The sequence below is a fragment of the Homo sapiens genome, chromosome 5 (assembly GCF_000001405.40).
Source record: "Homo sapiens chromosome 5, GRCh38.p14 Primary Assembly".
NCBI lineage: Eukaryota > Metazoa > Chordata > Mammalia > Primates > Hominidae > Homo > Homo sapiens.
Genome location: NC_000005.10, coordinates 171,023,271 through 171,037,988, shown reverse-complemented (window position 1 = coordinate 171,037,988; position 14,718 = coordinate 171,023,271). Strand labels below are relative to the sequence as shown.

The 14,718-nt window shown below is 34.5% G+C and overlaps 1 protein-coding gene across 19 annotated transcripts in view, besides 1 other annotated feature; it reads right to left on the bottom strand.

The window, feature by feature from the left end:
• RANBP17 (RAN binding protein 17) overlaps positions 1-14,718 on the bottom strand; it is a 437,998-nt gene that overhangs the window by 262,027 nt on the left and 161,253 nt on the right. For 2 of the 19 annotated variants that reach the window (XR_941108.3, XR_007058630.1), the window contains 2 exons: positions 9,000-9,117; positions 5,063-8,547 (listed from right to left, as the gene is read on the bottom strand). The exons of 16 other annotated variants lie outside the window; for them this stretch is intronic. Coding sequence is in view for 1 of the 3 variants with exons in the window: in XM_011534637.3 (XP_011532939.1) it covers positions 13,478-13,498 (21 nt within the window). In the remaining 2 variants the exon portion in view is untranslated. Of the gene's footprint in view, positions 1-5,062; positions 8,548-8,999; positions 9,118-13,423; positions 13,499-14,718 lie in introns of those variants that run through there. One more of the 19 variants, XM_011534637.3, reaches the window with a different exon arrangement.
• Positions 4,896-6,201: an enhancer, noted in NCBI's record as "VISTA enhancer hs608". NCBI's record gives its function as "enhancer in: neural tube[7/9] | dorsal root ganglion[7/9]" and the evidence as "EXISTENCE:transgenic organism evidence [ECO:0001131][PMID:17130149]".

The following is a 14,718-nucleotide window of genomic DNA, read 5'->3' as shown; positions in this document are numbered from 1 at the left end:
CACTATTCCTATCAAACTACCATGCCATTTTTTCACAGAAGTAAAAAAAAACTATTCTAAAATTCATACAGAACAGAAAGAGCCTGAATAGCCAAAGCAATCCTGAACAAAAAGAACAAATCTGGAGGCATTCATCACATTACCCAACTTCAAACTACACTATAAGGCTACAGTAACCAAAACAGCATGTTAATGGTACAAAAACAGATGCATAGACCAATGGAACAGAATAGAGGAGCCAGAAGTAAAGCTACACACCTACAGACATCTGATCTTCAACAAGGTCAACAAAACTAAGCAATCGGGAAAGGACTTCCTATTGAATAAGTGGTTCTGGGATAGTTGGCTAGCTATATGTAGCTGTATATACCATATACAAAAATTAACTCGACCGATTAACAGATTTTAATATAAGACCTCAAACTATAAGAATCCTAGAAGAAAACCTAGGAAACATCATTCTGGACATCAGTCATGGGAAAGAATTTATGTTTATGTCCTCATAAGCAATTGTAACAGAAACAACAACTGACAAATGGAACCTAATGAAACTATAGAGCTTCTGCACAGCAAAAGAAACTATCAACAGAATAAATAGACAATCTACAGAATGAGAGAAAAACCTATACATACAACAGAAGTCTAATATCCAAACTTTATGACAAATGTAAACAATTCAGCAAGCAAAAAACAGCTCCATTAAAATGCGGGCAAAGGACATGAATCAACACTTCTCAAAAGAAGACATATAAGCAGCCAACAAACACATGAAACAATACTCCACATCACTAACCATCAGAGAAATGAAAATCAAAATTACAGTAAGATACCATTGCATACCAGTCAGGATGGCTATTATTAAAAAGTCAAAAAAGAAAAAAAAACAATAGATGCTGGCAAAGCTGCAGAGATAAGGGAACGCTTATACACTGTTGGGGGGGAACATGTATTAATTCAGCTACTGTGGAAAGTACCTTGGGATTTCTCAAAGAACTTGAAATAGAACTACCATTTGGCCCAGCAATCCTATTACTGGGCATATATCCAAAAGAAAATGAATTGTTCTATCAAAAAAACACATGTACTCATATGTTCACTGCAGCACTATCCACAATAGCAATGATGTGGAATCAATCTAGATGTTCATCAATGATGGACTGGGTAAAGAAAATATAGTACATATACACCATGGAATACCACACAGCCATAAAAAAGAATGAAATCATGTCCTCTGCAGTAACATGGATGCAGCTGGAGGCCATTATCCTAAACAAATCAACACAGGAACAGAAAAACAAATACCACATGTTATTACTTGCAAGTGGTAGCTAAATAGTGGGTACCCACGGACATACAGATGGCAACAAGAGACACAGCGGACTGCTAGAGGGAGAAAGGGTTGAAAAACTAACTATGGGTAGTATGCTCACTTCCAGGGTGATGGGTTCAGTCATACTCCAAACCTCAGCATCATGCAATATACCCATGTAATAAACCTGCATATGTACCCCTGACATCTAAAAATAAATGCTGAAATTATAAAGAAAAAGATAGAAAATTGTAAGAACAAAAGGAAAAAGTAGCATATATACACCATAGACTACTATGCAACCATAAAAAAGAAGGAAATTGTGACCTCTGCAGCAACATGGATGCAGATGGAGGCCATTATCTTAAGTGAATTAACACAGGAAAAGAAAACCAAATATCGCATGTTATCACTTATAAGTGGGAGCTAAAAATTGAGTACTCATGGACATAAAGACAGCAACAAGAGACACTGGGGAGAGGCACAGAGGTGGCTCACACCTGTAATCCTAGCACTTTGGGAGGCCAAGGTGGCTGGACCACTTGAGGCCAGGAGTTCGACACCAGCTTGGCCAATAAAATAGCTTGAATATTTTGTTGTATTTTGTAAAAATACAAAAATTAGCTGGGCATGGAAGAACACACCTACAGTCCCAGCTACTTGGGAGGCTGAGGCACAAGAACTGCTTAAGACTGGGAGGTGGAGATTTAGTAAGCTGAGATCACAACACTGCACTTCAGCCTTGGCAAGAGGGCAAGACTCTGTCTCAAAGAAAGAAAGAAAGAAAAGAAAACCTACTGGGTACTATGCTCTCTACCTTGGTAACGGGTTGTAGTGTATCCCAAACCTCAGCATTATACAGTATACCCATGGAACAAACCTGCACACATATCCTGAATCTAAAATAAAAGTTGAAATTACTTAAAAAAAAAAAAAAAAAAACAAAAAAAGAAACAAACAGTGCAAACAATGGCTAAAAGTTCAGAATCTGGGCTACACTTTCTGAATTTGATTCCTGGCTTTAGCACCTATCAGCTTATAAGCCACTGGGTAAATGCCTCAGTGTTCTCATCTGCAAAATGGGGAAGATAATAAAGCCTGTATCATTAAAAAAAAAAACCCTAAAAAACAAAACAAAAAAAAACTCTAGACCTCCACAAAAGATACATGATCGGGTTAACATGTTCAAGCATATTTAAATACTTAAAAAACAAGGTCATATCCAATATATTAAGAAAGATATTAGAAGCATCATTTGACTTAGAACCACCTCTCTAATAGCAAAAACCTAACTACACAGAAAGACTTTAATGTTATTAAATTCATTTAAAAAATTACTAAGGTATCATGTTTAATTTCTTATGTTTCCCCCTTTATCTGCTGAGCCATAGCAGTCTTGCTGTTCTGCATACATATCAAATATGCTTCTCTCTCAGAACACTTACATTCACTGTTCCTGGGATATTTTTTTACCATAGATAAATATCTTGGCTTGTCCTGCACTTTATTTAGATTTTTCCTTAAATGCCATCTTATCAGAAAGGCCTTCTACAAAAAATCATATATATAACAACCCCATCTAGCATTTCTTATACTTATAATTTCATTTTATTTTTCTTCTTAGCACTTACTCTTTTTTAATTTTCTTATTTTTTATTTATAGCCATATGTCCAACCTATTAAGAAAAAAAAACCAAACCTGTGGTGGCTCATGCCTATGGTCCCAGTTCTCAGGAGGCTGAGGCAGGAGGGTCACTTGAGCCTGGAGGTTGAAGCTGCCAGGAGCCGTGAGCCATGATGGCAACACTGCACTCCAGCCTGGGAAACAGAGTGAGACCTTGTCTCAAAAAAACAAAGAAAGAAAAAAACCTTTAATTTATTCATCTTCTCTCTTTTTCCCCCAAAAGATGCTGGGCAGGAAAAAGTCATAGAGTATTTTAAAGATTTAATATGCACATTTCTCTAACTTTGCCTCTCACTATTATTTCTGGCTTTCTGCTTTTGCACTGCATCTGTTTTTAACATGGAAGGTGCTCCCATGAAGTGATGAAATGAACCGAGTCACAAAAACATTCATGTAATTCAAAGTGGCTATATACTCTGGCAAGCATGGAAAGAAGTTGGTTGATTAGGATGTTTTACAGTTTTCTTCATTGAAGAATATACCAGGTAGAGTTGGCTGGGGCATCATTTAGGCATAGTCCCCTCAGCCAATTCTAAGCTTTCCTTTTATGCAGCATGTCTCATTGCAGTTCTTTGGTAAGCAAGCATTCAGGTTTTATACCACTACAACTACAGTATGTGTTATAAATAAAATATATGCTTTACAAAGGGGGTGGTAATTACATATGATAACCCTAAGAGTAATGTGTAAGTGGCTTGTAATTACAACCTGGGACCAAGCTGTCCTCTTTGGAAGAATATGTTGCCTTTTCTAAGTTAACAAGAGGTTACTATTGCTTTGGCAAAGTATTTATACATAAAGTGTTTCATAATCATGAACATATGCTAATTTCTGGCTTTCATTTTATATTATTTGATATTTATTCATTCATTTATTATTATTTTTTAGAGACAGGTCTCACTCTTGCCCAGGCTGGGCTGCAGTGGCCCCATCAGGGTTCACTAGAGCCTCAAACTCCTGGGCTCAAATGATCCTCCTGTTTCAGTCTCCTGAGAAGCTGAGACTACAGGAATGCGCCACCATGCCCAGCTCTTATTTTATTTTTATTTTTAGCAGAGACAGAGCCTCACTATGTTGCCCAGATGGGTCATTGTTTGATATTTAAATTGTCGTGGTATCAAATCACAATGAGATTGAGATCAGAAAACCACTCTGCACTGAGAACTTTAAATCCATGCAATCTTATCTCCAAAGTCAGTACCCTGGGCTTTACACTGTTCATATTATGCTCTCAATGTTATAACTCATAAACAAGACTCAACAGAGAGTGAATGAACATATGCACAATTTAATAAGTTCTAATTATAGTGCCACTACCCTCCAGCCTGGGCAACAGTGAGATCTGTCTCTAAAAAATAACACTAAATAAATAAATAAAAATAATAATATAAAACAAAACCCAGAAATTAGCATATGTTCATGATTATAAAACACTTTACATATAAATTTTTAGCCAAAGCAACAATAACCTCTAAAGTTAGAAAAGGCAACATAGGCAACATATTCTTCCAAAGAGGACAGCATGGTCCCAGGTTATAACTACAGTAAGTTCTACTGTCGTAGGATTTTCTTCTTTAATATGGACGCAGTATATTTTTTCTATTTTCATCTTTGAAACATCAAAAGTCTTTTACAATCAGGCCCTAGACAGTTCCATATTTTAAATCTGTATTCATTGCTTAGAATATTGCTGCATTAATACATTTATTTCAACTGAAGAGCGTGAAGACCACTGGCCTATCCACACTGTAAACAAAATGTATAGTATGCTGAAAATAGCCTAAAGTTTAAAGCTTTCTACCTACCCTCAGAAATGGTAGGCTTAGTAGCAGTAAAACGTCTCATCTCACAACAGGAAAAACACAGATTCCAAGTCCAGTCCTAAGCATTCAAAGTGCATCAGGCCACAGACTTTGAAAGGATACAATTGGGGGTGGGGGTGGGGGTGAAAAAAATCTTTAGAAAATATTAAAAGGCTATGATTCATGTAATACATAAACAATAACCTGAGCATAACAAATATATTTGACCTTTAAAGTAATAAAAACAAATGTAAAAAGAGTCTCCAGTTTTCTATTACTGCCAAGTTTATTTTCCTCATAAGTTTCAACCCATTATGGTACAATAATCCCTCATTACTGTAGCACAATAATGCGCAGTCTCTACTCTACCTATAGTTGTCTTGTGTCTATTTAGTTTTATAGCAAGCAAGCAATTTGAGAATATGGTAATAAAGCCTCAATCACAGTAATGATGTATGATGGGCTGTAATTTCTCTGTGCTAATGGGTTACAAACAGTATTACAGTGATGACGGGAATCTCACTGATTCATTATATGACTGCAATAATATCAAAATGACTTAATATAGATCACTATTAAGTCATGCACATGTTACTAACAACCTCTATATTTCACTATACAGATATACAGGGGAATAAAATTAATATTAGTCTTCCTATATAAAAGTTCACACAGCACAAAACATTTTGTGTTGAGTCCTCTAAATCAATGTTTAAAGTTGGAATTACTGCATTGAACTGGTTCTTTGAAAAGAAAACCATTGATTTTAATCTGCTTGAAGCAATCAATTACTCCCTGTCCTCTTTATTCCAAACTGTAATGAAAACTAAACTGCGTTGTCTTGAAAACTAAATGTGAAGATGATCATAAACAGAATTTAAACTCCATGGATTATTCATATCTACCCATTTAGATTTGCCATTTCCATTATGAGTACATTTGCCATGAGCATTTAATGGACATCTAAAAGGGAATTCATTAAAGCAGGAGCTGTTGGCAGCACTTATGGGCTTCAGACTGCTTTATGCTTGCCTTTAATAGCTCACTATTATAAAAGTGATATATTGTGTTCATCCCATTAGTAGTCTGCAGGAAGGTCTGCAAGAGATAACAAATCCTTCTAAATATTTTCAGAACTGAAAGTAAATCACTATTTGTTTGTTTTAAGTGACATATTCTAAGAATATACAATTTTACTCGGTCAACTAAATTTAGTTGTTTCTAGCCAAATAAGACTTTGGCAATCATAGACACATTTTATAAAGTGGACGCCACCTTTCTGAAATATTCTGTGGCTATTAACTTGAGACATTAGTAGCCATCAGGCAATCTAACCAATGACATGAAGGTATGGTAGAGATAATAGTAGGATATACGTTTTTATGAGTTAATGGCAAGACACCACCAAAAGAAAAGCTAGGTGGAATATTTCTTCCTATACCATTACATGTTGCTACTACTCAGGAGGTATGAAAGGGTTATTTCTGGCATCTTGGATGCATTTAAAGAGCTTCTTAGATGAAATGGCATTCACTGGTCTTTTCTGTGTGTGTCCTACAGAGGCCAGAAAATGAACATGAAGAAATTTAAAACATGATTTCAATGTTAATGTTTATTACAGTAATGCAATCAAATCCTAACTGGAAAGGGAGAATGAAGAAAAGAAACCCCAATTTCAGCATATCATCTCCATAATGCCTGGCTCTAGGCTATGCTATATTCCAAACACAACATATTTTACTTAACAGGTAAAGCTTGTGGTGGGGTCAGCAGTATGCTCTTGTGTAAGAAAAGGCAGATCAATCCAACAACACATAGAATAGTCCGAAAGTCACATTTTTGATTTTGGAAATCATCGATTTCTTATTTTTCATAACAAATCTGCTTTTATAATTTTGTTTTGCTTACAGTAAGGTACAATCAGCTAGCATGTCCCTTAATACACACACCACATGTCTCTGAAATGCATTAACTGGTATAGAATGAAAATGCTATCACAGATAATCTAAATCTACATATTTAAAGCCTGTAAATCTTTGTGTAGATGATTAAGAGCTCATCCTGCTCTAATGTTTTAAAGACTAAAAACTGATCTTTTAAGTTTCCAAATTTTAGTTCATTCATATATTGAAACAGATGTTGTAATAATTACACTAACTATAAATATGGAAATGTTTAAAGTTCACATATGTGTCTACCTAAAAAACTACTGGTTACAAAAACATACAAGAAGGATAAAAGTAGGAAAAAAAGTAGGAAAGATTATTTAAAAATTCACAGTCTTAGAAATGTAAGCATTTCCAAAGCCAGTCAGATACAACCATCAAGCATCCTTTGTAGTCTGCTAATTTCTACAAAATTACAACCCTTTGAGGATGTAATTGACTTGCCCAGCCCAAGAGCATAATGGAAATCTGTGCTACTTCCTAAGTCTTTGAAACATGCCTACTGAGTTCATTACAATACAGATTCAAATATTTAATACACACTTTAATGTGGATGACATTCTTGGTTTAATGTTGAGATTTCTAAATATTTAAATTACTTTATATATTTATAAAATTGGGTTAGGATATGTTCACATACTCATACAATGCACATACAGGAACCTAATCATCTTAAAACACTTATGATCTAGTGGGAAATAATTTTCTACTAGAATCTGAAGCAGAATTAAATAAATGGCTTTTCTGTTCAAGAGAGATACCACTGGAGACATTTTAAAACACCCAATAAATATTTTGATTCTTCTGCACATATTACACAAACATAACGAGATAGAAACACAGGGTTTGTACCCAACAATTTCTAAGTCCATACTAACTTAGTTGTCCTAATATAGACTCAAGTAAATAACTACTTTATTTAGGTTCCAACAGTAACATGGTTCCAAATAATGAATGCTTTAAAAAGTTGCCTTTCCAGCCAAAGAAATGTTCTCTTGCTCAAAACTAGTATAGATGTTTTTGAATAATAAACACAAAACAATGTATCTCAAGAAGCCAACAGTATTCTTACAACCCATTTACCTTAATGGTTGGAAAAATTTCAGAGGAAGACAATCTCTCTTCTTCCTAGTGACCAGGAGTCATTACTGTAGCAAACTCACTGAAGTATATTAACTTCAGTTCATAACTTAAGAGTCACTTGGAAAATTAGCCAATAGGAGAAATAAATGCCCAATTTATTCATATCTGCTATGTGTGGGTGAAAGTCAGAGACAAGGTATATTAAAGTACTACTTCTGTTTTTTTCACAACCAAATGCACACAATGTCATTATCATGATGAAACAAATTAATGTTTTGTAAGACTTAAACTAATTTACTTAAAATGTCCACCTATAAAACAAATTTCACATAATGCCCAAGTGCATTTTGAAGGATTATAAATGTCAGAATACATGTAGATTTTTTTCCTCAAATAAAAAAATTTTTTTGAAAAATAAGAGGCTATTTTGTCCAGAAAATAGCCTCATAGCCACAGACCTAATTTACTTCCCAAGTTGTAAGATAGCATCAAGGTACAAAACTGGATTTCAATTAGCTATGACCACTTGCCTGAGGCACAATCAGAAGTTTCTTATTACTAGCATATAGAAGTGGGATACAGAACAGGAAAATTCTTGTCTCTGTCTTAGTCATTTTGACATTAAAGGAAAGAATTCATGGCAAGCCAACAAAGACCTCCGTGATGACCATGAGTGCAAATGTTAGCTCTAATATTCTCAATCAGCTTCTGGTTCCAAGCCATCTACAAACATAATCAAACGTTATTAAAATTACGAAGGTATAAGATCATATATTCTAGGCTGATTTTAAGTTGTTCTAAACTCTTACGCATAAAATAAAAATGAAGATAAGGATAAGTATTAAAATTGCAGCTAGAAATACCTATCTGTTTCAGTATTTTTCTCCCTCTCACCCCACACATATACTCCTTTTAAGAGTTCTGGAATTTAAGATGAACAAGTGTGTTGAAAATGATCACATTATACACAGAATGGAATCATTTAATAAGGTGATTAATCATCAATAGTTTAGGTGCATCCTAGAATAAATGAATAGATAAATTGTATTATCTCTCTGGGGACTAGGAAACTTTTAAAAAACTAAGGCTGACTGATGCTGAGTGAGTTCATGCCTGAGTATGACTTACCTGACCAGAAAAGAACTGGCTTAACATATAGACTGACTTGCCCTCACCTGGACCTTAGACTGTGATCCCTGGTTCAGATGATGATGAATCAGATCGTTCTCAAGGAAGAAGAAACCCGAGTTGGATAGGTTTGCCACAAGCCCTTCACAGGAAGATGTCTGTCTTCTGTGCAAGACAAAAAAGAAAAGAAAAAAAAGGTACAGTGGCAGTGGATGAATTCTCCTTTCTTAGGAGAGGGAAAAAAGGCAGGTTTGCACATTCTTCATTAGCTACTAGCTCTTCTCTGTATGCAAGCAAGGAAAGTCTCTGCAAAAGTTGGAAGAGACAAAGGTATCAAGGTATCAAAAGCCTAAAATTATCTTGGAATGGATATAATAATAAAGATGCTAACCACAATTGATCATGACATCTTACAAATCAATTCTGTGAAGATCAATAATCAAAAGATTGCTTTTTTGGACAAAATAATTAGTCCTAAAATATTTTTTTAAATGCTTAAGGTTAGATATGGAAGATGTCTACATTCAGCATCAGTCCAAATTAATAAATTATCTTCACATATTACAGCTATGCTAGCAGTGATTTATAAGAATATATATCTTACAGAGGTTAACTTATCTGGCATTCCAAACAACAGTGCCTAATATGTCTCTAAGGTGTTCCAATCAGGTTTTCCACTGGTATAAAAATGTCCTTATTGAAGTTTCCATATAAGATTCCTAAAAATGCGTTTCATCTCCAAAACTGATGATTTTTTTCTTTCAATATTAGAATCTATATTTTAAAATATAATGTGTCTTTCTTACACATATGAACAACATTAAATAGTATTAGGATTCTACAATGTCTATTCCACCCCCCATCAACACTATTAATTTTTTATTTTTAAATTAAAAATTTATTTAGTGCTTTTTTTTGTAGTGCCTTATAAATCTAGCATTAATTTAACTGTTTTCCTTCATGGGAAAGCCTGGAATTTCAATGTTATTGGTATGTATGGGTATCACTTAATTCTTATGTAAAAAATCAGTAAGCAAAAAATTCCATTTTACCTCAGTAAGATAATATGGTGAGATGATATGAAAAGCTAACAGATGATACTTTAATAAAGTACTCAAAATAAAACTGGTTGCAAAAGTTCAATAGCTACTCTAAAAATTTAATAGGCCAACTAATTAATAGCAGAAAAATTTACATGAAATTGAAATCACTTCCTCAATTCCAGTTCCCAATTCCCGTTCTACAAAATAACCAGGAAAAACTAGGTCTACTGGTCTCTGTTCTTACATACAGTTCAAGAGGTAAATAAAAAAGTTTATCATTGTGATAAAAATCACTATATTAGGCTACAAAGTTTAGTAGTTAAACTTAAGTGTAAAGACAATTATTATGAATTGTTATGCAAGCCCTGGTGACATTAATATTATTATTATTATTAATTATAATATGATCCTACTGGGGCTAGTTCAAATGCTTTACAGCCTCTTTTTAAATATACAAATCGATGAGTTTCTTATGAAGGCACGTTGCAAAACAAAAAATTTCAGAAAAAAGCTACAATACTATATGCAAATCTCACAAATAGAAAAAGTGACAAAGAGTTTAGTTCCACCAAACTATCATAGGTAATTCCACCTATATTAATACTTCAAAAGCATCATAAGGAGATAAGATGTTCCATGACAAAAATGAATCTGCCAATGCTGAAAGGACAAAAATTAATTCTTTAAGACACTGCTTTAAAGTAGCTGAATCTTTAACAATCTGGAACCACGCAGTAATAACAGAGTGAAATAAACTGCACTTTTTCAAAGCAATGCCTGATTTTATGTGATAAATTCATTAAAGAAACAATCTGTTAAACAATCCATTCAAGTTTTACTGCATGTTCTAAAGCAGAGGTCCCCAGTGTTTTTGGCACAAGGGACCAAATTTTTCCCTGGACGGATAGTGGGGGAGCTTCAGGATAAAACTGTCCCACCTCAGATCATAGGCATTAGAGTCTCATGAGGAGTCCGCAACCTAGATCTCTTGTGTGTGTTCCCAATAAGGTCCGTCCTCCTATGAGAATCTAATGCTGTCGCTGACAGGAGGTGGAGCTCAGGCAGTAATGTTTCTCACGCACCGCTCACCTCCTGCCATGTAGTCCAGGTCCTAACAGGTCACAAACCAGTACCAACCTGTGGCCTGGGGGTTGGGGATCCCTGTCCTAAAGTACAGAAAATATGAAGCATTCCAGTATTTAATTGAAATTTGTGAATAATTTCTCATCTCAGGGTCAAAACTTGTTAATGGCAATTAAGAAAAAAATTGTAAACCAGTTGTAACTTTTGGAAAACAATTCTACAGAATATCTTCAAAGATCCAAACCAAATTACTAAATTTCAATACTCCTTCACGATTTCACAGATGTTTGGTAATCTAAGAAACACTCACATTTCTACAATCATTGTGTGAATATAAATTATTAATTAATGAATATATAAGCTGGTATGTCTAGATACTAACTTTAAACTCTTCTGTTAAAGGAATGAAAAGGGGGAAAATATAGTGGGAGCCTTGTGATAAAATTAGAAATTGCAGGAGTTTTCGCAGTAACTATCTGGTTAGAAGGCGCAACATACAGTGGTAGAGTATAAGAGCATATAGAGAAAGATCAATTAGGTTTGAATCACGGCTCTGTCACTAACTGTGTACACTGAGCAAGTGAAATACCTTCTCTGAGCCTGTTTCCCCACATAAAAATGGGAATAAAATTAACTACATTGTAAGGGTGTTGTAAGGGTTAAAATAAGATTGTGTATGTAGCCTAGTGAACAGCAAGCACATGGGAGTTTCTCAATAAATGGCAGCTATTACAATTATTCTTTACCAAATTTCTCCCAAGCAATTTAAAAGCCTCCCAAAGAGAAATAATAAATTACAGGGGTTTTGTGATAATTAAAAGACATAATATACTCCTTTATTATTTCATTTCACAAATATTTAGTATCAGAAAATGTGCTTGGTGCTGTCGATGCAATGGCGAACAACACAGACACAAAGCCTTCTGTTATGGAGTTTACAGTTTTGTGAGGAAGACAAATAATTACATTAATTATAGTTGTGATTAATCACAGATGTAATAAGTGCACTTAAGACTAAGGATAGGCTGGGCACAGTGGCTCATGTCTGCAATCCCAGAACATTGGGAGACCGAGGCAGGAGGATCACTTGAGGCTAGGAGTTCAAGACATGGCTGGACAACATAGCAAGATCTTGTCTTTACAAAAAAATGTACTGAAAACAACAACAACAACAATTACTTGGGCATGTACCTGTAGTCCCAGCTACTTGGGAGGCTTTGGCACAGAGAATTGCTTAAACTCAGGAATTCAGGGCTGCAGTGAGCTACGATCACATCACTGCACTCCAGCCTGGGTAACAGTGATATTCTGTCTCAAAAAAAAAAGAAAAAAAGAAAAAAAAAAGGACTAAGGACAAAATAATATGAGAACCTAAGAGGAGGGAGTGAGGGTGAGGGAAGGCTGCCTAGAGAAAACAGGAATTAAGTAAGCAAAGAAGAAAGAAAACAGCCATTCCATGCAAGAAAGAAACAATACATGCAAAGACCCTAATAAAACATTTGGAGAATTGAGGAAGTAAAAGAATGCCAGATTACCTAGAAAAAGGAAAATGGTATAGCATAAAGCTAGGGAGGACAGTTTCTTCAGTGGACTCTATAAACCATGGAAAAGACTTTGATCTTTATCCTAAAAACACTGGGAAGCCACTGATTTTCATTTACAGTAACTCTGGCTATGGTGTCCAATGAACCACTTTGAGAATGGATATGTGGAGACAAACAGGAAGTTACCACAGAGGTCATGGAAAGGCAGCTTGGACTAGGAATATAGAAGCACAGAAAGAACTATAAACAATCAAATACATAGAAGGGGGAATTTTGAAAGGTCTTAATGACTGATTGGTTACACTGATGAATTCCAGAGTACTGACATAAGCAATAGATGCCATTTACTGAAAGAGAGAAATATAAAGGTAAAGCAGCTTTTTCAGAGGATATCATGAATTCTGTTTATAACCTATTGAATTTAGATTGATGAATGTCATGTAGATAGTTGGAGACATAGGTTTAAAATTCAGAAGACAGGCCTAGCTAGAGATATGTATTTGGAAGTCATGAGGAAATAGACAGTAATTGAAGACACAGGAGTGCATGATGCTATTTAAGAAAAAAAAAAGGGAGAAGACAGACATGAAACCTAGCCCTAATATACTGTAACACTAAAGATCAGATTCAGGAAAATTATTAGACTAAAGAAGCTGAGGAAGAAGTTGCTACAGAGATTAGAAAATAAAACAAAAGAACATGGTATCAGACAAGCTAAGAAAAAGAAGAAACGATTTCTAGAAGGAGTAAGTGGTTGATTATGTTGAATAAGGATAGAAAGTATATACCAGGTTTATAAGTAATGTAGTCAGTGGTGATCTCAGCTCAATCAGCAAGTGGTGTGCTTCTTTTATGTTAAGGATTGGCAATTTTTTTCTGAAAAGACCAGATAGTAAATATTTTAGGCTTATGGTCCAACTACTCAACTTTCCCATTATTGTTACAAAGCAGCTATAGACAATATGTAAAAGAATGACTGTGGCTGTATTCCCATAAAACCTTATTTACAAAACAGACACTGGCCCTCAGACCACAGTCTGTCAATTCCTGTTTTTTATTACAAGGCTAAAGTCAAATATTACCACCTCAGCAATTTCATGTTTTTCCTATTTAAAGTATACTCTTTCCCCCATTACTCTATCATACCACCCTGCAGTACTGTCTTCACAGATTCTCTATTATCTTAAATTACCTTTTTGATTTGCAGTTATTAAATGTTTCTGATTCCAATGGAATGCAAATTTCATGACACTAGAGACCAAGCCTATACAGTTAATGTTTTTATAATTCTAGCATCTAAAGAAGGAATGTCGTTCCTAGTGGATTCAATGAATATTTATTTTTTAACTTTCTGAAATAAAGAACATGTTATTCTAGCTATGATACAGTAACAGGGTCCAGATTTACTCTCTTGATTTTTGCAACAACAAAAAACTGGATTAAATATATGAAGTAACACTTTTGATCCAAGAGCAAACAGCCAGTGAAGGACTAGAATGTATGAGACAGAAAATAAGGTGAGCATTCCAAACTACAGAGAAAAAGGCAGGATCCTAAGTAAAGTACAGAAATTTCACTGAGTTGAGAAGACAGAGATAAGAGTTCAGAGTCTAAGGTAACTTGTTCTTTCAGGGTAGAGTTCTGGAATTGTCACAGACTTCTTGTCAGAAACTATGAAAGCCAGATGACAGTGGAATACACTTTTAAATAGCTGAAAGAAAAACAAAATGCCAAACTGGAATTTTATACCCAGTGAAAATGTCTTTCAAAATTAAGGAGAAAATAAATTTTTCACCTAGAAAAAAAGTAGATGAGAGAATCCATTTTCATCAAATCTGTACTATATGTTAAAGAGTTTTTCAAATAGAAAATAAAAAGGATATCACATCAAAATTTAGATCTATACAAAGAAAAGAAGTGTAAATAGCACACATGTGACAAAAATTTTCCTCTCACTGTTCAATTTCTTAATAGGCAATTAAAAAATAATAATGTTTTGACAGGTTTGATGTAGATGTAAAATCTATAAGAACAATAGTACAAAGGACAGAAATATAAAAGTTATAAAAGTCTTACATTAGAAGTGAAGTACTGTA